General features: G+C 44.9%; 1 long non-coding RNA gene across 2 annotated transcripts, besides 8 other annotated features; it reads right to left on the bottom strand.

Annotated features, from left to right (window-relative positions):
* Positions 1–625: 625 nt before the first annotated feature.
* Positions 626–17,778, bottom strand: LOC105371470 (uncharacterized). 2 transcript variants are annotated; one of them, NR_188635.1, is made up of 4 exons: positions 17,711–17,778; positions 4,235–4,564; positions 3,864–4,130; positions 626–1,848 (listed from the first exon to the last, which is right to left on the bottom strand). It is a non-coding gene; the product is annotated as an uncharacterized LOC105371470 (long non-coding RNA). The 2 variants fall into 2 exon arrangements; NR_188636.1 differs by having other exon boundaries at positions 626–4,130.
* Positions 5,329–5,378: an enhancer, noted in NCBI's record as "active region_1956". NCBI's record gives its function as "activates an Ori minimal core promoter by ATAC-STARR-seq in GM12878 lymphoblastoid cells {active_cell/tissue: GM12878}" and the evidence as "EXISTENCE:reporter gene assay evidence [ECO:0000049][PMID:35858748]".
* Positions 5,699–5,768: an enhancer, noted in NCBI's record as "active region_1957". NCBI's record gives its function as "activates an Ori minimal core promoter by ATAC-STARR-seq in GM12878 lymphoblastoid cells {active_cell/tissue: GM12878}" and the evidence as "EXISTENCE:reporter gene assay evidence [ECO:0000049][PMID:35858748]".
* Positions 9,231–9,732: an enhancer, noted in NCBI's record as "H3K27ac hESC enhancer chr1:160751105-160751606 (GRCh37/hg19 assembly coordinates)". NCBI's record gives its function as "activates a minimal SCP1, AML or CMV promoter by ChIP-STARR-seq in primed H9 embryonic stem cells {active_cell/tissue: H9 hESC(primed)}" and the evidence as "EXISTENCE:reporter gene assay evidence [ECO:0000049][PMID:30033119]".
* Positions 10,403–10,562: an enhancer, noted in NCBI's record as "active region_1958". NCBI's record gives its function as "activates an Ori minimal core promoter by ATAC-STARR-seq in GM12878 lymphoblastoid cells {active_cell/tissue: GM12878}" and the evidence as "EXISTENCE:reporter gene assay evidence [ECO:0000049][PMID:35858748]".
* Positions 17,345–17,537: a silencer, noted in NCBI's record as "fragment chr1:160759219-160759411 (GRCh37/hg19 assembly coordinates)". NCBI's record gives its function as "represses an EF-1alpha promoter that drives an FKBP-Casp9 reporter gene in an ReSE screen in HepG2 liver carcinoma cells {active_cell/tissue: HepG2}" and the evidence as "EXISTENCE:reporter gene assay evidence [ECO:0000049][PMID:32094911]".
* Positions 17,868–17,987: an enhancer, noted in NCBI's record as "active region_1959". NCBI's record gives its function as "activates an Ori minimal core promoter by ATAC-STARR-seq in GM12878 lymphoblastoid cells {active_cell/tissue: GM12878}" and the evidence as "EXISTENCE:reporter gene assay evidence [ECO:0000049][PMID:35858748]".
* Positions 18,038–18,107: an enhancer, noted in NCBI's record as "active region_1960". NCBI's record gives its function as "activates an Ori minimal core promoter by ATAC-STARR-seq in GM12878 lymphoblastoid cells {active_cell/tissue: GM12878}" and the evidence as "EXISTENCE:reporter gene assay evidence [ECO:0000049][PMID:35858748]".
* Positions 18,138–18,257: an enhancer, noted in NCBI's record as "active region_1961". NCBI's record gives its function as "activates an Ori minimal core promoter by ATAC-STARR-seq in GM12878 lymphoblastoid cells {active_cell/tissue: GM12878}" and the evidence as "EXISTENCE:reporter gene assay evidence [ECO:0000049][PMID:35858748]".

Genomic DNA, 22,758 nt, shown 5'->3' on the forward strand with positions numbered 1-22,758 from the left:
TTCCTGGGCTGATTCTTTAATGGCCTTATCTTTTCTCTTTTATTTTCATCTGTTTGTCTTTAGTTCTACTTTCTGAGAGAGTTTCTTCATTTGATTTTCCAACACTTCCATTGAATTTTAGAAGTTTTCTGCTTTTTATTTATGTATTTATTGTTACTAGGGCTCTTTCTTACTCTTGGACTTTTCAGTTTTTCTTAGGCTGGCACCCTGTTTCTGTTTTTAAGTGAAAATCTTTTTATATGTCTCTAAGAATATTGTTTGAGGGATTTTATTTAATTTTCTCCTGCTCCCTGTATTATCTCTTTTCTTCCAAGTTTCTTTTTTCCCCCTGATTCATTTGGTTTGGAGATTGTCTTTCATGTTAGAGGCCTTCCCCAAATATCTTGTGATCCTGTCTGCCCTCTTATATTTCCAAATAAGTCATTAACTACTTGATTGGAAGCTTTGTGTGTAATGGGTGATATTTGCCAATCCTCTCTGTGAATGAACTAGGAAATGAGCTGATCAACTGAGAGTAAGAAAAAGAAAGAGAAGCTCAAAGTTTCCCACCTAAATTTTGCTTTTGGTTCAGTTATTTGTATATGGTTCAAATTCTAGATTAACGTATCTAGCACTGCAGAGCAGCTTTCTGTCAAAACAAAACATAAATGTTTCTTTTATTTTAACTTTTTCTTTTGCTAACTGTTGAGCATTCTAGGAAACTTTTAGGATAAAGATTTAATTTGCTGCTTCTCTCCATCAAAAGCAGAAAGAGAAAACAGACAATGGTGTAGGCCCCAGATCCTTGTAAAACCTCCTAATAGTCTTCAAATCTTAAGAAAAAATATTCTCAACTCCAATTCATTCTTTCATTCATTCAGTAAATGTTGAAGTATCTATCATAAGCCAAACACTATTACCCTTTGGGTTTTTAGTTTTGAAAAAATATATATAGAAATAGTTCTTATCCTCATAGAGCTGAATATCTTGTGAGGGAAATAAACAATAAATAAGTAAACCAACAAATAAGTGTGCCAGGCATGGTGGTCTATGCCTGTAATCTCCGCACTTTGGGAGGCCAAGGTGAGAAGATCACTTGAGGCCAGGAGTTTGAGACCAGCCTGAGCAACAGAGTTAGATCCTGTCTCTATGCAAAATAAAAAGAAGAAAAGAAAATATTTGATGGCTTAAATGGAATTCCCCATTTAGAGATTACCTGGTGGTTTCCGACTGGTTAAGTCATTCTGAGTTGGTTTTCTGTTTGCTTGTGTAGAATCCCAGATTGCTAGGGCCGTCTCAGCCTAACAGACTCCAGATTATTTTTTTAAACATACATTGATTATGAATGAGAGGAAAGATCTACTTAAGTATAGTGGCCAAAGGCTGCTCCAAGGAGATGACATTCAAGCTGAAGCTGGGCTGAATCTAGTTATTTAAACATTAACAAAAACTTAATAATATATATGTGTGACAATAACAATGTTTTTATGTTCCATTCAATTTTTCTTAAATAAATAAGCTCCTTTTTCTTTCTGAACACTTAAAAACACACTTCAATAAAACATAAACAGATTATTTTAAACAGAAGACACATAGCAGTTTCCTGATAATTTTGAACTCAGTTTGTAAATGAAATAGGGTTTATGCCTTAATCAGTGTCAATGTCCTTCTCTCACACCAGGAAATGCTGGCCTCAGGCAGCACTCCACATGCGAACTTCTTTAACTCTGTGTCTCACAGGATGGCCGCCATCTCGTACTTCTCTTCTTGGTTTCTCCCCATGTCCAGGTGAAATCTATTCAATCCCCAAAACTCCCAGAATCAAAAAAGGAAGAAATTCTTTCCTCAGGGAGTGGGGTACAAAGGAGGCTGAATGAACAATGACCACAAGTTAGTAATTGGGAGAAAAGGAAGACAGGAAGACAGAGAAACAGGGAAAATGATTTTGAAGGAAGACAAGTCAGAGGCATGGCTGGGCTGGAGGCCCCTTCAGGTAGCCGAATGTGGGGGCGGAACTGAAATGTCCATCAGGCCCCGTAGAGAGAGGGAGACTGTGAACGTCTACAGCCAATTATCATGTCTGCATGTGTCCCACAACACCCAGCGCAGATGCTTTTTAAATACTTGTCAGACCCACATTTTTTGACACCTATTACTCGTTGTGTATTAGAGATGCAGAGAACAGTAAGAATGTGTTTTTCTCACAGTTCAGTGGAGAGCACAGACACAAAAAGCCCATAATAGAACACATTCAATGTTGTCTTTGTACAACAAAATACAGAACTCTCCCAAAGTCATTTCCCAGGGCTGACTGGAAGATGAAATGGCCAAAAAGCTAGTCAGGTGCAGGTTGTGATGATTGTAACAGTGATTTACATGAGGGGTAGAAATTTATCTGGACCTCTTCTTCATTGTATCTACAATGGTTAGAACAGCACAGGGTTCATAAAAGATACTCAGTAAATACCTGTGGCTTAAATGAATGAATAATTGTTTAAATACCTTAGATAGTGGGCAGACATCATAGGGCTTTTTTTTAGTTTTTAAAATATTTACTATTTTTGATTGACAAATCACAGCAGCATGCATTTACGGTGAACAATGTGATTTTTGATCATGTATACAATGTGGCATGATTAAATCAAATTAATTAACATATCTTCACTCACCTACCATTTTTTACGGTGAGACATTTGAAATGTACTCCCTCAGCTATTTTGAACTGTATAATACATTATTATTGACCATGGTCGCCTTCTGTGCAATAGATCTCAAAACCTATTCCTCCTGTCTGTCTGAAACTATTACCGTTTAATCAACACTTCCACATTCCCTCTCATGTCCTAAAGTTTTAAGCTAAAAAGTAACACAAGCATTTCTTAATTTAGAATTAGACCTCTGGCAGTGCAATCTGGAAGATGATTGGGAAGGAAAAGATTAAGGAAGGAAGGAGTGGTTAGGAGTTTGTGGAGTGGTCCAGGCAAGGAATAAAGGGAAAGGGTGAGCAATGGCAGGATGTGGTGGGGAAGAGGAGGGGCCCTAAATGACACTGGCATTTCTGCCTTTGGCAACAGAAAGAAAACAAGGGGAGTGGAGAAAGGCCTGAGGCACCAGTCTTGAGAAGGATCCTGATCCAAGGGAAGATGTCCCAGGAGAGAGCAGCCCAGGTGACAAAGGAGAGCAGGTTAATGTGTCAAGTGCTGGGAGAAGCCAAGGATAACAGAATTTAAAAGTGGCCAATGAATTTATCCATCAGGATGTAGCTGGAGGGGCAAATCAGCAGCAAGTGGGTGGAGAATGAATGATTGAAGATCTGGAGTCAGGAAAGACAGCTGTTTCAGAAGGCAACTGAGAAGAGGAGAGACAGGATATGTTTGAACTAACACAGTTTCCAGCCATGACCTATGACTAAGCCAAATGGGACCAGGGACACCATGAGAGGCCTCCCCTTGCCTGCCAGAAGAGCACAGCCTCAAGTGTCTCTCAGAGCACCTCTAGGCAAGGGGAGGTGGTAAGTCCTCTCTGAGAACACAGGCAAGGGGTTTCGAAGCTCTCCTCAGTGGGCTGTGCAGGGTTGAGTGTGGGTGAGGCAGCACTTTTCCTCAGGGAGTCCCAGGAATGAGCTGAATGCCTCGCTGAGTCTGCAGCAGGTCAGGCACAGAGGACCGAGGCCAACAGAGAAAAGGTGGACCGAAGCGGGCCCTGGGATGGTGGCTCCAGAGCCCTTGTCTCCTGCCACCCCAGAGACACTTCCTGCTGCCAACTAATCTGGCTCCTCCCTTTCTTCAATTGCTCCTGGATCCAAGAGGAAGAGAGGCAGGGATGCTAAGAAACTAGACCAAGGCTTGCCAGGAAGAAGAGAGTCAGAGAAGGAAAAACATTACCTGAGCAAAGGGGTCTGGTAAGGACAGAGCTGGAGCTCTGGCTGGTGGGATTCCTGGCAGTGCAGTGATAGCTCTCACTTTCCCCAGATATCCAGGGGACACTGAGAGTGGTCCCCCCATGGGACACAACTGCCCCATGACTAGGAGGCTCCCAGCTGTTCTGCACATTCTCTCCAGCCTGTTCCAGGGAGCAGGCCAGGGTGATGAAGCAGGTCCCATCCTTCATGATCTGGGAGCTGGCAAAGATGTTCAACTCCTACAGCATCTCTGAACCAAGAAGGGAAAGCTTGAGCTATGAGAAGGCTCTGGTCTGGCCAAACAGGGTAGAGGAAAGCTCAGTTTCAAATGTGGGGCCCTCCAGCCCTCCTTACCATAGACAAGCAGGGTGAAATCCCTGGTGATAATGATTGAGGAAGTATGCAGAGTTACCCAGGCTTATAGGCTTATAGTCCTGCAGCCTCAGGGGGCTGATCTGAAGAGAGTAGCTGTGGTGGGGAATGTTCAGTCATCCACTGTAGGGTCCCTGAGTCTCAGAAACCAGAACTGGTTTGTCTGTTCATCCTTGTTGTAAAACAGCAACACGCTCTCAAGAGCTCCATGTAACACTTTCTACCTCTTGCTCTGCTGGGACCTCCAGGGGCCAAGTGGCCAACTCCCCAAGGATATCTTCCCCACTGTATCTTCTCCCAGTGTTCCTGACCCTGTAGACAAAGAAGAGAACCCACAACCTCAGTGTCAGTGTCTCCCCACCTAGTCAGGAAAGCCACAGGCTCCATCCAGCTCCTCCTGTGTGAGTCCCTCCAGCCTCCCCACCAGCTCCAGTGGGTCTTCTCCTCCCACTGCCATGACCACACAGACCAACACCCACCCACCCCAGACTCCCACCCTCCCAATGGTGTTAGCCCCCTTGCCCCAGGGTCTGAAGGGAACCAGGACTTCTTCTTCCACCCTCCCTGTCAACCCCAGAGCTGCTCAGGCCCCTGGGCAGACTGAGGAGCCTGGTACATATGCAGAAGTGAGGCACTGAGATAGGGTGGGAGCTGCTGTTACTGAATGGGTTCTTGACCATGCAGGTAAAAGTTAGAGCACTGTCCCCAAGCCTCAAGGAGACACTGAGGACAGACCCTCCACAGGACACAACAACAGTCTGGGGTCCCAGGGGTGTCCAGCTGTAAGTCACACTGCCTCCTCTGCTCTCTGCCACACATGTCAATGGCATATGAGAGTGACAATGCAGCATCCATCCTCACTAATCCTGGAGCTCAGTGTGACATGAGGCCAGGCCAGCTGCTCTGTGTGTGCGAAAGGGAATAAACTGAGGACTGGGAAACTGCTCTGGGCCTCCACTTCACAGGACAGAAAATGCACGGCATTAGTGCCCAAACCTTGCATCACCTTGAATACACAGAAGGAACAGCAGAGGCAGGATCTGCCCACATCTGTTCCAGAACTTTGTGCTATGTAAGGCCATGTCACTTAACATCTCAGTTGATTTCCAGAACAACTCCATGAACTAAACAGGGAAGATGTTATATCAACTCCATTTCACAGGCTCAGAATGCTTAGATAACCTGCCCAAAGTCTCATCTAGTTAAGTGGTAAAGCCAAAATCCAAATCCAGTGAATTTGAGCCCAAAACTGAGTTTCCCAACCCTGCCCTGAATAGATAAAGGAATGCAAGTACGGAGCTGTGTTGTAATTACATATTTTCCCCGTAGGGGGCTCTGCAGCATACACTGAGCTTCCAGGTGTTGATCAAGAGTCCCAGAGGAGGTGGCTGTGTGCCTTTGAGGTTTCTCCCACTCCCTTGCACTCCCTTGGACCTGCTCCCCGTCTCCTCTTGCCCCAGGGCCATGACCCAGATATTCTTAAGTGCTCGAGGTGTCCACATTGCCATTATTTGTCCACCAGCCTCCCAGGCCAGACCCAGGAGGATTTGGGGGAGGCGAGAAGAGCAGCTGCAGACACCAGGCCTGAAACACTCAACAAAGTCATATTGCATAGAACAAGGCTACTCTGCTACTCAGCCTCAGCCCTGTGGCCCACACGACTGCAGCCCCAGGGGAAACTCAACTGTGCAAAGTAGGACCACACAGGCCCAGCGTGTCCCCCAGGAGAAGGCAGCCTGGACATCCCCACAGGTGGGTACCTTGCTGCTGGCTCTCCCCACTGTGTCTCCTATATATCAGGCCCTGGGATGCAAGCCACTTGACTTCTATTGGCCCTTTTCTCATCCAATAAATATGGCGACATACCAGAAACCCAGAGAATGAAGGCACAGGGTACAGCATCAGAATACCTGAGTTCGATTCCCAAATCTGCCACTTTCTAGCTCCATGTCATAGGTGTCTTATTTTCCCTTTCTAAGATTCCGTTTCCTTCCTAGAAATGAAAACTCCTGACCTGCATACTGGCAGGGCTGTTGTGAGGCTGCAGTGATGGGAAACACCCTGTGAAGGATGGAGCCTGACCATTAGCACTGCCTTGCCATTGGGATGTCAACCCAGAGAGAGAAGGGCTCTCTGGAAGACCCCACCCCTGATGGATTGGCACAACCCTATCCTCTACCCAGACTCCACCTGACACCATACCACACTAAGTAAGTGCTATCAGAATGACTATCAGCGAGGCCAAAGGGCCTCTCCCACCAGTTTTGGGCCCACCCTACCCTAGTGAGCAACCCAACCCCAAGTCCCAGCAACCCACTTCCATTGTGCCCTGGTCCTGTTGTGAGAAGCAGGCCATAGCCAGCCCAGGCCTGATTTATGGCAGACACGCCTTCTCCCCAGCCATGTGGACCTGACCAGAGAGCAGCCCCATCAACTCCACTAAAAGAGTGCCTTCGTCTAATAGGAAGATTTCCTATCACAGAATCCAAGAAAAATGTCTGTGAAGGTTCTCTGCTGGCCTTCCCATGTCCATCCTCACTCACCACCTGTCCCCCTCGCTCATTGCAGGGGAACGGCTCTGCCATAGCACCCTGAGACCTTGCACATCTCTCTCAGGCAAAGGTTTCAACCTCTGCTAAACTGGGTCTTGGCAAAATGCCTTGTGATCCACCCAGAACACGAGAGTTCAGGTGGCCTGTGAGGCACAGCCTTGAAGCCATCTCCCCTGGGAGGCTGTCATGAGACTATTTCCCCTGGCTCCTGGGGTTCTGATGCAGTATGGGACTTCTTGTCCTCAGAACACAGCTGCGGTCTCTAAGTCCTCTTTGCTGAAGGTAGAATTGGCCCCTCGGCATCTGGGTATTCCACAGCTCCCACTGCAGCCATCTGGCCCCTTTTGTTTCAATGTCATCTTTTCTGGTGTGGGACAAGTGCCCAGGGATCTGGAACCCTTGGCTACTCTTCCATTCGTTATATGAATAATCAACTGTCTGAATCTCAAAGTGGCTCAGCGTAGCATCTTTCATAGGCCTTTCTCGGTGCTGTGTGTGCTTGATACCCACCCCATTGCTTCCTTTGTAGTTTCTCCTGCTAAGATTTTTTAAATTTCTTTAAGGAATTTGATAAGAGCATCCCTCTGCATCTGCATAGGCCTTTCCAAAGCACTTTCATATGTTTTCACTCTCACAAAAAGGTATTGTTCCCATTTTAGTAATGAGGAAGCTCCAGGCCACAAGAGGAGGTTGTGGAAAAACTCAGTTCTCAGGGCCTGAAATCCCATTCTCTGACCACTACTGTCCCAAGAACTCTGCTTCAGGTGGTCTAGGGTAGGTCCTGAGGCTTGACATTTTTCAGGAGATTCTCTCTGGCAACTCTAACTTACATATCTTTAAAAACAAAAAACAAAACAGTGCGCATAAATTAGTCTTGCAAATTGCGAATGTTACTAAAGCTGTAGAAATGACTGAGAGGCTGACACTGCCTCACCCACTGCTGCCATCTCTAAGACACCCACTATAGACTTGCAGATGGTACTCCCAGGTGAGGGTGCTGCAGGAAATCCTCAGGTTAACATGGGCTCGGTAGGGCCCTGTATCCTCCCAGCTCAGGTTGCTGATCTACACGCAGGGATAAACCTGGACTCATGACACTCAAGCGACCCGAGGACCAGGTTTCCGCTTGGTAAAAGATGTCTGGGCCCCCAGCTTCTCCCATGGTTACTGTGGTGATCTCCATGGGGACCGAACGCGATATCCAGGAGATGGTCGCCACCTCCTGTCCAGAGCGATATCCAGGAGATGGTCGCCACCTCCTGTCCAGAGCGATATCCAGGAGATGGTCGCCACCTCCTGTCCAGAGCGTCTGCAGGGGCAGAATGACAGACCCTCCTAGGTCCCAGTGACCACTAGGGGTGCTGTGGTCCCTCTGGAAGTCCCTGGTCCTGCAGACACAGAACAGAAGCTTCAGGGGGTAGCCTGACTACGCCAGAAGGTCACAACAGGCCTGAGAGGGGATTATTATCCCCATTTTATAGACGGGAAAACAGTGACAAAGAATTTAGGTGACTTGCTCGAGACCACATCCCCATAAGGCTTTGTCCAGTCACTTCTGAAACAGATGTCACATCCTCTGAGGCCTAGCCAGGATTCCTGGGAACACATCTTTCTAGAGCAGGAGAACTTGTGGTGTGCTGGCCAAGCCAGTTTAAGGGTGCTCAGGGGGCAGCTGTTGGGATCCCAGCCTATACTTAAGAGGAGAGTGTAAGCACTGGGGAACCAGTCAGACTGCCCGAGTTCAAACTTGCTCTACCAGGTACTAGCTGTGTGATCTTGGGCAGGTGCTAAAACTCTCTGAATCTTGGTTTCTTACCTGTGAAAAACAGGAAAGGCCATCTTCTAGGATTTTGTGAGGGTTAAATGAAATAATGCAAGTAAATACTATTCACTATTAGTATTCACTATAAGTATTGTGAATTATTATAATTCACTTCAATCCACTATTAGTATTATTAAAGGCACTTTATATCACTGGAATAAATTAGTGAATGCACCTTGTTTGCATCCTCACCAAAACCAGTCAGAACTCTTGTAGAGCAATTTTGAAAACCACTCCTCAGTAGCATGACCTATCTCTGTCAGAGTATTTCTGCAGCACAGACATGCAGTCCCAGGAGGCAGAAATGCTGAAGCTGACCAAGGTCTACTACACACTTTTCTCTCTGTACAGCTGCGTACAGAGAGAAAAGGCAGCATGGGGTCTAGGGTTTGATTTCAAATTGGAATCTGGAAGCACTGGCTACATAACTACTTCTTAGACTGGGTGATGAGGGTCCTTGCCAAGCTGAACTGAGGGGTCCTGTGACAATAGCTGTGGTCACGAGGAGTGGGAGGGTGTTTGCTGTCTTGTGAGGGTGTGTGCACCAAGCCAGGGGACATGCAGTGTCCTGGTGCACTCACCAGACTCCGCTGGCTGGCCCAATGTTATGTTCTTCCATGGAACTAACTATTCTGGCTCTGCCTGGAGTGGGCAGCAAGAAGCATCCCACACAGGGTGTTGCTGACACCAGATAGATATTCCTCTCCCCAAATACAGCCCAGGCCTGAAACCTAAGCTGGAGGTATTCCACCTGGAACAAGCAGCTTTGCCCCCGGCTTGTACCCTCTAGTGTGGTAACTCGCTAGACCGGTTTCCATTCTGCTTCCTTGTTACAGCCTTATCTGAGCTCTATACTTCTGGTCCAGCCACGCCTTCCCCTTAGTTTCCTTTGGCCTGTGCTTTTGTTGAATTGTTTTGTTTCAAGCATTTACTTCATTCTGCCTCATACAAATAGCTGTGCTGTGTGTCTTTCCCTAGAGCCCATGAGCAACCCACGGAGAGAAGTTGGGAGGGAATTAATATCTGAGTAACAAGGTAAAGTAAGGCCAGCGGTTTAGCCTCATAGTTAGGTGTAGTTGGGGGAATCCAGTGAATCCTGTTTCTGGATTCAAGGGAGGAGGGGAAAGAGACAGAGAAGGATCAAATGCAGGGCACAAATCCCAAAAGCCAGACACTTTGCCAAGCATATTATGCACATTACTTTCCTTAACCTTCCCAACAGACTTGTAAGGTAGGTATTCTTTTATCTCCACTTTATAGATGGAAGACCATGAGACTCAAAGAGCTTAAGGAACTTGCCCAAAGTCACCAGCTAGGAACAGCAGAGTACCGGTTAAAACCCAGGTGTGTCTGTCCCCAGAATCAAGGCTCTGTTTACTACACCAGCTGCCGGCAGCAGGCCTTCCCATGCCAAATTCTTTCCTGTGTCACACTGTCACCCGCTTTTCCCTAGCCACACACAGCATAGGACCTGGCACACAAGAGGACTTAACTGATGTTTCTAGAACTGAACTGAGGAACTGTGAACATTTTTAAGGCCACACTTGTCTTACTCAATCTCTTGCCGTGGGCCCAAGAGATGCCCCTGTGCTCAGTGATTACCAAGGGCCTGGCCCAGATGCTGTGGAGGGAGGAAAACACCGATATGCATGCTCCACAGTGGAAGAGGAAAAACGCAGGTGTGAGAAACATTGCAGTAATCCAGCTTCTTGGTTTCAGTTCTGTCTTTGGTCAGGGACACTGTGGTTCTCTGATACACTCCTTGTTGCTCCTACCCAACAGCACAGTTGGGCTGTGCTGACTTTCAGTTTCGCAGATCACTGGAATATGCCACGTAATCTCTCTGAGCCTCAGTCTATCATCTATAAAATGGGTGAAATGCTACCTGCCTTGTCCATATCACAAGACTGTTATAGGGATCACTTTTTTTTTTTTCGAGATGGAATTTTGCTCTTGTTGCCCAGGCTGGAGTGCAATGGCACGATCTCAGCTCACTGCAACCTCCGCCTCCTGGGTTCAAGCAATTCTTCTGCCTTAGCCTCCTGAGTAGTTGGGATTACAGGCATCCACCACCATGCCCGGCTAATTTTGTATTTTTTAGTAGAGATGAGGTTTCTCCATGTTGATCAGGCTGGTCTCAAACTCCCAACCTCAGGTGATCCACCTGCCTCAGCCTCCCAAAGTTCTGGGATTACATGTGTGAGCCAGTGCACCTGGCCAGGGATCACGTTTTTAAAGATTTAAGTTAAAGTTCTTGATGAACTATCAAGGTTTAAACACATCTAGGGGATTCATCAGTTTATTAAAGGAGATCCCTAAAGGCTGGGGTGAAAACAACCCTGAACGCAGGTGACTCTAAGAACAGAATGTGGGGGAGGAGCCAAGATGGCCGAATAGGAACAGCTCCGGTCTACAGCTCCCAGCATGAGCGACGCAGAAGATGGGTGATTTCTGCATTTCCGTCTGAGGTACCAGGTTCATCACACTAGGGAGTGCCAGACAGTGGGCACAGGTCAGTGGGTGCAGCACACCGTGCACGAGCCAAAGCAGGGCGAGGCATTGCCTCGCTCGGGAAGCGCACAGGGTCAGGGAGTTCCCTTTCCTAGTCAAAGAAAGGGGTGACAGACGGCACCTGGAAAATCGGGTCACTCCCACCCGAATACTGCGCTTTTCTGATGGGCTTAAAAAACAGCGCACCAGGAGATTATATCCTGCACATGGCTCGGAGGGTCCTACGCCCACAGAGTCTCGCTGATTGCTAACACAGGAGTCTGAGATCAAACTGCAAGGTGGCAGCGAGGCTGGGGGAGGGGCACCCGCCATTGCCCAGGCTTGCTTAGGTAAACGAAGCAGCCAGAAAGCTCCAACTGGGTGGAGCCCACCACAGCTCAAGGAGGCCTGCCTGCATCTGTAGGCTCCACCTCTGGAGGCAGGGCACAGACAAACAAAAAGACAGCAGTAACCTCCGCAGACTTAAATGTCCCTGTCTGACAGCTTTGAAGAGAGCAGTGGTTCTCCCAGCACGCAGCTGGAGATCTGAGAACAGGCAGACTGCCTCCTCAAGTGGGTCCCTGACCCCTGACCCCTGAGCAGCCTAACTGGGAGGCACCCCCCAGTAGGGGCAGACTGATACCTCACACGGCCGGGTACTCCTCTGAGACAAAACTTCCAGAGGAACGATCAGACAGCAGCATTCGCGGTTCATGAAAAACCACTGTTCTGCAGACACTGCTGCTGATACCCAGGCAAACAGGGTCTGGAGTGGAACTCTAGCAAACTCCAACAGACCTGCAGCTGAGGGTCCTGTCTGTTAGAAGGAAAACTAACAAACAGAAAGGACATCCACACCAAAAAGCCGTCGGTACATCACCATCATCAAAGACCAAAAGTAGATAAAACCACAAAGATGGGGAAAAAACAGAGCAGAAAAACTGGAAACTCTAAAAAGCAGAACACCTCTCCTCCTCCAAAGGATCGCAGTTCCTCACCAGCAATGGAACAAAGCTGGATGGAGAATGACTTCGACGAGTTGAGAGAAGAAGTCCTCAGACGATCAAACTACGAGCTACAGGAGGAAATTCAAACCAAAGGCAAAGAAGTTAAAAACTTTGAAAAAAATTTAGACGAATGTATAACTAGAATAGTCAATACAGAAAAGTGCTTAAAGGAGCTGATGGAGCTGAAAGCCAAGGCACGAGAACTACGTGAAGAATGCAGAAGCCTCAGGAGCTGATGCGATCAACTGGAAGAAAGGGTATCAGCAATGGAAGATGAAATGAATGAAATGAAGCAAGAAGGGAACAAACAAAGCCTCCAAGAAATATGGGACTATGTGAAAAGACCAAATCTACGTCTGATTGGTGTACCTGAAAGTGACGGGGAGAATGGAACTAAGTTGGAAAACACTCTGCAGGATATTATCCAGGAGAACTTCCCCAATCTAGCAAGGCAGGCCAACATTCAGATTCAGGAAATACAGAGAACACCACAAAGATACTCCTCGAGAAGAGCAACTCCAAGACACATAATTGTCAGATTCACCAAAGTTGAAATGAAGGAAAAAATGTTAAGAGCAGCCAGAGAGAAAGGTCGGGTTACCCACAAAGGGAAGCCCATCAGACTAACAGCTGATCTCTCGGCAGAAACTCTACAAGCCAGAAGAGAGTGGGGGCCAATATTCAACATTCTTAAAGAAAAGAATTTTCAACCCAGAATTTCATATCTGGCCAAACTAAGCTTCATAAGTGAAGGAGAAATAAAATCCTTTACAGACAAGCAAATGCTGAGAGATTTTGTCACCACCAGGCCTCCCCTAAAAGAGCTCCTGAAGGAAGCACTAAACATTGAAAGGAACAACCAGTACCAGCCGCTGCAAAATCATGCCAAAATGTAAAGATCATCAAGACTAGGAAGAAACTACATCAACTAACGAGCAAAATAACCAGCTAACATCATAATGACAGGTTCAAATTCACACATAACAATATTAACCTTAAATGTAAATGGACTAAATGCTCCAATTAAAAGACACAGACTGGCAAATTGGATAAAGAGTCAAGACCCATCAGTGTGTTCTATTCAGGAAACCCATCTCACACGCAGAGACACACATAGGCTCAAAATAAAAGGATGGAGGAAGATCTACCAAGCAAATGGAAAACAAAAAAAGGCAGAAGTTGCAATCCTAGTCTCCAATAAAACAGACTTTAAACCAACAAAGATCAAAAGAGACAAAGAAGGCCATTACATAATGGTAAAGGGATCAATTCAACAAGAAGAGCTAACTATCCTAAATATATATGCACCCAATACAGGAGCACCCAGATTCATAAAGAGAGTCCTGAGCGACCTACAAAGAGACTTAGACTCCCACACATTAATAATGGGAGACTTTGACACCCCACTGTCAACATTAGACAGATCAATGAGACAGAAAGTCAACAAGGATACCCAGGAATTGAACTCAGCCCTGCACCAAGTGGACCTAATAGACATCTACAGAACTCTCCACCCCAAATCAAAAGAATATACATTTTTTTCAGCACCACACCACACCTATTTCAAAATTGACCACATAGTTGGAAGTAAAGCTCTCCTCAGCAAATGTAAAAGAACAGAAATTATAACAAACTATCTCTCAGACCACAGTGCAATCAAACTAGAACTCAGGATTAAGAAACTCACTCAAAACCGCTCAACTACATGGAAACTGAACAACCTGCTCCTGAATGACTACTGGGTACATAATGAAATGAAGGCAGAAATAAAGATGTTCTTTGAAACCAACGAGAACAAAGACACAACATACCAGAATCTCTGGGACACATTCAAAGCAGTGTGTAGAGGGAAATTTATAGCACTAAATGCCCACAAGAGAAAGCAGTAAAGATCCAAAATTGACACCCTAACATCACAATTAAAAGAACTAGAAAAGCAAGAGCAAACACATTCAAAAGCTAGCAGAAGGCAAGAAATAACTAAAATCAGAGCAGAACTGAAGGAAATAGAGACACAAAAACCCTTCAAAAAATTAATGAATCCAGGAGCTGGTTTTTTGAAAGGATCAACAAAATTGATAGACCGCTAGCAAGACTAATAAAGAAAAAAAGAGAGAAGAATCAAACAGACGCAATAAAAAATGATAAAGGGGATATCACCACTGATCCCACAGAAATACAAACTACCATAAGAGAATACTACAAACACCTCTACACAAATAAACTGGAAAATCTAGAAGAAATTTATAAATTCCTCGACACATACACTCTCCCAAGACTAAACCAGGAAGAAGTTGAATCTCTGAATAGACCAGTAACAGGAGCTGAAATTGTGGAAATCATCAATAGCTTACCAACCAAAAAGAGTCCAGGACCAGATGGATTCACAGCCGAATTCTACCAGAGGTACAAGGAGGAACTGGTACCATTCCTTCTGAAATTATTCCAATCAATAGAAAAGGAGGGAATCCTCCCTAACTCATTTTATGAGGCCAGCATCATCCTGATACCAAAGTCGGGCAGAGACACAACCAAAAAAGAGAATTTTAGACCAATACCCTTGATAAACATTGATGTAAAAATCCTCAGTAAAATACTGGCAAACCGAATCCAGCAGCACATCAAAAAGCGTATCCACCATGATCAAGTGGGCTTCATCCCTGGGATGCAAGGCTGGTTCAATATACACAAATCAATAAATGTAATCCAGCATATAAACAGAACCAAAGACAAAAATCACATGATTATCTCAATAGATGCAGAAAAGGCCTTTGACAAAATTCAACAACTCTTCATGCTAAAAACTCTCAATAAATTAGGTTTTGATGGGATGTATCTCAAAATAATAAGAGCTATCTATGACAAACCCACAGCCAATATCACACTGAATGGGCAAAAACTGGAAGCATTCCCTTTGAAAACTGGCACAAGACAGGGATGCCCTCTCTCACCACTCCTATTCAACATAGTGTTGGAAGTTCTGGCCAGGGCAATTAGGCAGGAGAAGGAAATAAAGGGTATTCAATTAGGAAAAGAGGAAGTCAAATTATCCCTGTTTGCAGATGACATGATTGTATATCTAGAAAACCCCATTGTCTCAGCCCAAAATCTCATTAAGCTGATAAGCAACTTCAGCAAAGTCTCAGGATACAAAATCAATGTGTAAAAATCACAAGCATTCTTATACACCAATAACAGACAAACAGAGAGCCAAATCATGAGTGAACTCCCATTCACAATTGCTTCAAAGAGAATAAAATACCTAGGAATCCACCTTACAAGGGACGTGAAGGACCTCTTCAAGGAGAACTACAAACCACTGCTCAAGGAAATAAAAGAGGATAAAAACAAATGGAAGAACATTCCATGCTCATGGGTAGGAAGAATCAATATCATGAAAATGGCCATACTGTCCAAGGTAATTTATAGATTCAATGCCATCCCCATCAAGCTACCAATGACTTTCTTCACAGAATTGGAAAAAACTACTTTAAAGTTCATATGGAACCAAAAAAGAGCCCGCATCGCCAAGTCAATCCTAAGCCAAAAGAACAAAGCTGGAGGCATCATGCTACCTGACTTCAAACTATGCTACAAGGCTACAGTAACCAAAACAGCATGGTACTGGTACCAAAACAGAGATATAGATCAATGGAACAGAACAGAGCCCTCAGAAATAACGCCGCATATCTACAACTATCTGATCTTTGACAAACCTGACAAAAACAAGCAATGGGGAAAGGATTCCCTATTTAATAAATGGTGCTGGGAAAACTGGCTAGCCATATGTAGAAAGCTGAAACTGGATCCCTTCCTTACACCTTATACAAAAATCAATTCAAGATGGATTAAAGACTTAAACGTTAAACCTAAAACCATAAAAACCCTAGAAGAAAACCTAGGCATTACCATTCAGGACATAGGCACGGGCAAGGACTTCATGTCTAAAACACCAAAAGCAATGGCAACAAAAGCCAAAATTGACAAATGGGATCTAATTAAACTAAAGAGCTTCTGCACAGCAAAAGAAACTACCATCAGAGTGAACAGGCAACCCACAAAATGGGAGAAAGTTTTTGCAACATACTCATCTGACAAAGGACTAATATCCAGAATCTGCAATGAACTCAAACAAATTTACAAGAAAAAAACAAACAACCCCATCAAAAAGTGGGTGAAGGACATGAACAGACACAGGAACACTTTTACACTGTTGGTGGGACTGTAAACTAGTTCAACCATTGTGGAAGTCAGTGTGATGATTCCTCAGGGATCTAGAAACAGAAATACCATTTGACCCAGCCATCCCATTACTGGGTATATACCCAAAGGACTATAATTCATGCTGCTATAAAGACACATGCACACGTATGTTTACTGCGGCACTATTCACAATAGCAAAGACTTGGAACCAACCCAAATGTCCAACAATGATAGACTGGATTAAGAAAATGTGGCACATATACACCATGGAATACTATGCAGCCATAAAAAATGATGAGTTCATGTTCTTTGTAGGGACATGGATGAAATTGGAAATCATCATTCTCAGTAAACTATCGCAAGAAGAAAAAACCAAACACCGCATATTCTCACTCATAGGTGGGAATTGAACAATGAGAACACATGGACACAGGAAGGGGAACATCACACTCTGGGGACTGTTGTGGGGTGGGGGGAGGGGGGAGGGATAGCATTGGGAGATATACCTAATGCTAGATGACGAGTTAGTGGGTGCAGCGCACCAGCATGTCACATGTATACAAATGTAATTAACCTGCACATTGTGCACATGTACCCTAAAACTTAAAGTATAATTAAAAAAAAAAGAACAGAACGTGCTGGTTTTCTCCTGATGGAGAATAAAAGTGAAAGCTTGAAACTCTGGAGACTAAGAGCAGAACCTGTCCCCTCATCATGAATATCTCAAGATCTGTGTTCCCCTAGCCTCCAAGTCCCAGGCCCATCCCCCTGTCATCTGTCAGGTTCTTAGAGGTGAGCAGTGAGAATCCACAGGGACAGGAATTACCAGTGTGCCAGGCTTGAGCTCCCCCACTGAAACCACTTATGGGACATGAAAGGCCCAACTCAGGGTGAAGGGTGACTCCCAGCGGCTGGCAGGAGAGGGAGGAAGGGGAAAGAGATGCAAGAGAACCAGATACAAAACACAAATCCCAAGGCACTACATCACCACAGGTCTTTAAAAACCTGGACATCTCTGGAAACATGACTGAAATGACATGCTGCAGACTACATGCGTCTTGGAACTGACTGTGGCTGATCCTCCATCTCATGCCTCCACAATTCAGCCTCTCTGGAAATGCTCAGGCTCCTTGTGATACATTAGTCAAAGAGATGTGAGGGTCACAAGGACACCGTCTAGAGCTGCGTGACCTGAGGTTATAGCACATGCGCACAGACTTACGCACCCACGCGCACGTGCGCACACATACACACACACACACACGCACACACAGAGCCTGGCTCCCATAGAGGCAGCACCTCAATGAAAATTGCACATTCCTAGAGTAAACCAGTGTACGCAGCAAATAGACGAGCCTGGGAGGCAGTGGAGGGGTGGACTTACCTATGAAAAGACCAAGGAGGAGCAACAACCATGGTAGAGAATGGGCCATAAAGTGCACCTGCAGAACTGCTTGTCACATGGCAGCAGATGACGGACTATGCATGCGTAAATGTCAGCCTACTACCAGTTCCTGTTTTTAGTGTCACCACTTTAATCACATGTAGTTTATGTGTCACAAGATATGAAGATGAGCGGACGCAAAAGAAAGAAGGATGAGAAGCGCCTGAACGAGCTACTTAAAAGCCAACGCCGGTGACATCACAGCCTTGCTTTAAACCCCTCGGGGGTGTACCACCCCCACAAGGCTAAAGTCCGGGGTCAAAGTCCTTGTGGACAAGGCCCTTCATGATTGGCTTGTGTCTTGCCAACCTACCTGGCCACACTCTGTCACCAAGTCTCACAGCTTGGACTCCAGTCACCACAGACTGCTTCTAAAGCAGTCCCCTTGGGATTTCTCATTTTTGTAAATGCAGCTCTACTTCCTCAGGCCATCTTACTGATTGGATTGCCCTAGTCTCTGTCATCTACCTCACCCTAACACCCTCCTATTGCCCATCTCCAGTCATCACCACCTTGGGAAAGGCCTCCCTGAAGCCCCAGGCTAGGATGGTGCTAGGACATCCATTCCCTCTTGCTGTTGGACATCAGGCCTGTGGTTATGGGTCAGGACACTTGTACTACCAGCCTCCCAGTTCTCAGGCCTTCTGACTCAGACCGGGACCTACACCACCAGCTTCCCTGGTACTCCAGCTTGCAGTCACCAGATCATGAGACTTCTCAGCCTCCATGATCATGTGAGCCAATTCCTATTAAAAGAGAAAAAAGGAAACAATATATATATTCAAGGTGTGGTTTCTCTGAAGATCCCTGGCTAATACAACTGCCTGTGGCATTTGACACTTGAAATACTCTCTCCTCCTGGACGCCAGGATACCGTTCCCCCCGGGTTCTCTTCTCTCCTTCACTCAATGCATATTCGTTGAGTTCCTGCTAGGTGCCACAAAAGCTCTGTGCTAAGGACTGGGGATACAGAGATGAAAGGAAGTGTCTGCAACCGTGTTGCTTACAGTCTAGTGGGAAAGAAAATTTATGTCAATAAAAAATAAAGTAATGCAGGTGGTTTTACTTTCTGGTTGGGTACAGTGTGTTGGGCATGAGGCTTTCTGGTTTGAATACTGCCTCTGCTGCTTGCTAGTTGTGTGACCTAGGCAAACTACCTGCCAATCAATGAGAGTTAGGAGTTCTCCTTTATAATTTATTTCCTTGAAGATGGTTTTTGCACATAAAAATTTATTCATAGGCCATATTGCTTTTAAGAACTCATATTCAATTTATTAAATAAATAAATTTAAAACCTAAGTCAGCCTTAAGTTCAGTTCAGCTTACAAATCTTACTGTTCTGCTTACAAATTAGGCAAATTTTAACTACCCTTCTTGAGGACTATTAATAAGATTTAACTCATGGCCAGGCATGGTGGCTCACACCTGGAATCCTAGCACTTTGGGAGGCCGAGGCAAGTGGATCACTTCGAGCTCAGGAGTTCGAGACCAGCCTGAGCAACATGGCGAAACCCCATCTCTACAAGAAATACAAAAATGAGCCGGGCATGGTGGCTCATGACTGTGGTCCCAGCTACTCAGGAGGCTGAGGCTGGAGGATCGCTTGAGCAGGGAAGTAAAGGTTGTAGTGAGCCGAGATCGTACCACTGCACTTCAGCCTTGGTCACAGAGCAACATCCTGTCTCAAAAGTAAAATAATAATAATAATAATAATTTGACTCATTTTACAAATTTATAAGTTGATTCCCTTATTATTCTAACTTATAAATGTAATATATTTAGTTTTGTTTTAAAGTATTTTAATCAGCAAATAAACTTCCCAAATACTTAAAGGCTTGTAAACCTAATACATTAAACTTCTAAGTGTGGTCATTCTTAAGTTGTCTTAAATTATTCAATTCTTCATGTAAATTAAGATTTCCAACTAAAATCACAAATGCACAAATGTAAATCAATTGCATAGTTTAAATCAGAAACACAAATATCTCAGTTCATTCTGGCTGCTATAACAAAAATATCTTAAACTGGGCAATTTATAAGTAGTGGAAATTTATTTCTTATGGTTCTGCAAGCTGGGAAGTCCAAGATCAAGGTGCCAGCAGACTCTCGGTCTGGTTAGGGCTCACTCTGTGCTTCCAAGGTGGGGCCTTGTTGCTGCATCCTCCAGAGGAGATGAACACTGTCTTCACATGGCAGAATAGTGGAAGGGCAAGAAAGGGCCAGATAACTCTTTGAAGTCTCTTTTATAAGGGCATTAATCCCATATATGAAAGCAGAGTGCTCATGACTTAATCATTTCCCAAAAGGCCCCACCTCTCAATACTATCGCTTTGGGGTTTAAGTTCCAACATATAGGACAGGCACAGTGGCTCACACCTGTAATCCCAGCACTTTGGGAGGCCGAGGCAGGTGGATTACCTGTGGTTGGGAGTTCGAGACCAGCCTGGCCAACATAGTGAAACCCTGTCTCTACTAAAAATACAAAATTAGTCAGGTGTGGTGGCACGTGCCTGTAGTCCCAGCTACTCGGGAGTCTGAGGCAGGAGAATCACTTGAACCCAAGAGGCAAAGGTTGCAGTGAGCTGAGATTGCACCACTACACTCCAACCTGGGTGATAGAGTGAGACTCCATCTCATTAAAAAAAAAAAAGTTTCCAACATATGAATTTTGGAGGGACAAATACATTCAAACCGTGGCAACAAAGTTTACTACAATTTTAATGAACTAAATTTCCTCAAACAATACATATACTTAAAAAATACTAACTGATTACCTTGAACATGTCTATTTTGTATTCCTTATTTTCCCAGGATTGAAAGATTCATAACCACAAAAGAAACAATTATGTCATCCCATTTACAGCCATTTCCTGGGGTACCTTCTCAATTAGCTAAAGTTGCTTAATGACCAGAAATATCACTGACATGTTAACTAATGGTATTACCAGCACCCCTTTTTTTTTGAGGTGGAGTTTCGCTCTTGTTGCCCAGGCTGCAGTGCAATGGCACAATCTCGGCTCACCGCAACCTCCGCCTCCCAGGTTCAAGCGATTCTCCTTCCTCAGCCTCCCCAGTAGCTGGGATTACAGGCGCGTGCCACCACACCCGGCTAATTTTGTTTTTTTGTTTTTTGTTTTTTTTTTTTAGTAGAGACGGGGTTTCACCATGTTAGCCAGGATGGTCTCGATCTCCTGACATCGTGATCCGCCCGCCTCCGCCTCCCAATAATTTTGTATTTTTAATAGAGACAGGGTTTCTCCATATTGGTCAGGCTGGTCCTGAGCTCCTGACCTCACGTGATCTGCCCACCTCGGCCTCCCAAAGTGCTGAGATTACAGGCGTGAGCCAATGTGCCCAGCTGGCAGCACCACTTTTTGCTTGTTTTGTTGCTACCCTCTAAAAGGCTGGTCTCATAGCCTATATCCCTAGATTCCACTTGAACACTGTGACATTCCCTAATTCTTCCCTCTACTGTGGCTGCAGCAGTTGATTTGATGTTGAATTTCTTTAGCTCCTAACATATATTTGTCTTTCCATCTAAGTGTAAAAAGCTTTGAGCTTGTCAAAATTCTACAGTCTTTCATATTCTTCCAATCTGTAGTAGCATATATATACTGCAAGTCAAGACAACATTAGAAATAAAGTCCAAAAAATGCAATTGTGTAAAATGCAGGGTCGTCTTAATTGCACAGTGAATGAAGTGTTGGTTGGGGGCTGGTGGTGAAGCAACACAGCTGAGTATGTGGTTGTGGCTGCCAGACCCAAATCTCAACCCAGGCTGGAGTCTGATGCTACCTGGAGGCAATGCCCAGTTGACAGGGGTGATTCTGGGCCTGTAGCTGGCGGGACTCCAAGGACAGTAGCAGGGATTTCAAAAATTTTCCAGTCAGTCACACCCACTTGCTGGGGTGGTTGAAGTATACTGAGAAGGACAACACTGGAGACGCCGGGGCCAGCATCACTGGATGTTGCTCCCTGATTCCCAATGCTAGTGCCTTTGCCTCCCTGTCCTGATGAGAATATTAGCCCTCCCCATGTGAGGACAGGGCACACTTAACAAATGCATCATACCAAAATTTATATTAATTTAGGTTTTACTATACTTAAATGATAATACTTAAATTGGATTTTGTGTATTATAAGGCTGTGTCCTCCTATGGTCACAACTTCAAAGGAGGTCATTTCAGTGATGTTACTTTCCTAAATCTCAGTTTTCTCATCTCTAAAATGGGGATAATTGGAGTATCATCCAAATAGGGTCTATCTTAGGATTAAAGGAGAAAACATATGTAAAGTTCTAAACACAGAGGCTCACTCATAGTAATTACCCAATAAATGTTAGTAATGATTTTTATTATTACCAATCTCTCTGAATTCCCTTCTGCCTTTGCCCTCGCCTCCCATGCAGACTGTTCCTGCTCTCATGTTCTGTACCCAGACTCCTTCAATAGCTTCCGCACCTGTCTTCTCATCCCCAGGCTCATCCCTTCCACCCATTCTCCCTCCACTCTGCAGCTCCAGGAAGCTTCCTACTCCTACTGGATTCTTGTTGCCTTTAGCTTGGTAACAGGATGCTTTATCTGGGCTCTGGTAACCTCTCCTGACCGTATGTCCTGCAATCCCCTCTAGACAGCCCATGTTCTAGTCACAGGACCAAGGCTAGAGTGAAACAAGACACGCTCCTAGTGCACAAAATTTAAAGATTTTCGAGATTCTGTCACTTTCAATATTGTGCAACATCAGATCATGACCAGCCTCTAAAGATGCTTTCCATGGACATAAGCCTGTTATCTTAATGGTTTCTCTCTCTCTCTCCCTTCTTCCTTTGAACCCAGACTTCCTGGGTTCAAGTCCTTACTAACTATAAAACTTATAGTAAGCTATTTAACCCCTCTCCACCTCAGTTTTCTCATTTATAGAATGGGGATGATAAAAGATATCTCATAAAACTATTGTAAGATCAAATGAGTGAATATGTTAAAGTGTCA

The sequence above is a fragment of the Homo sapiens genome, chromosome 1 (assembly GCF_000001405.40).
Source record: "Homo sapiens chromosome 1, GRCh38.p14 Primary Assembly".
Lineage (NCBI taxonomy): Eukaryota > Metazoa > Chordata > Mammalia > Primates > Hominidae > Homo > Homo sapiens.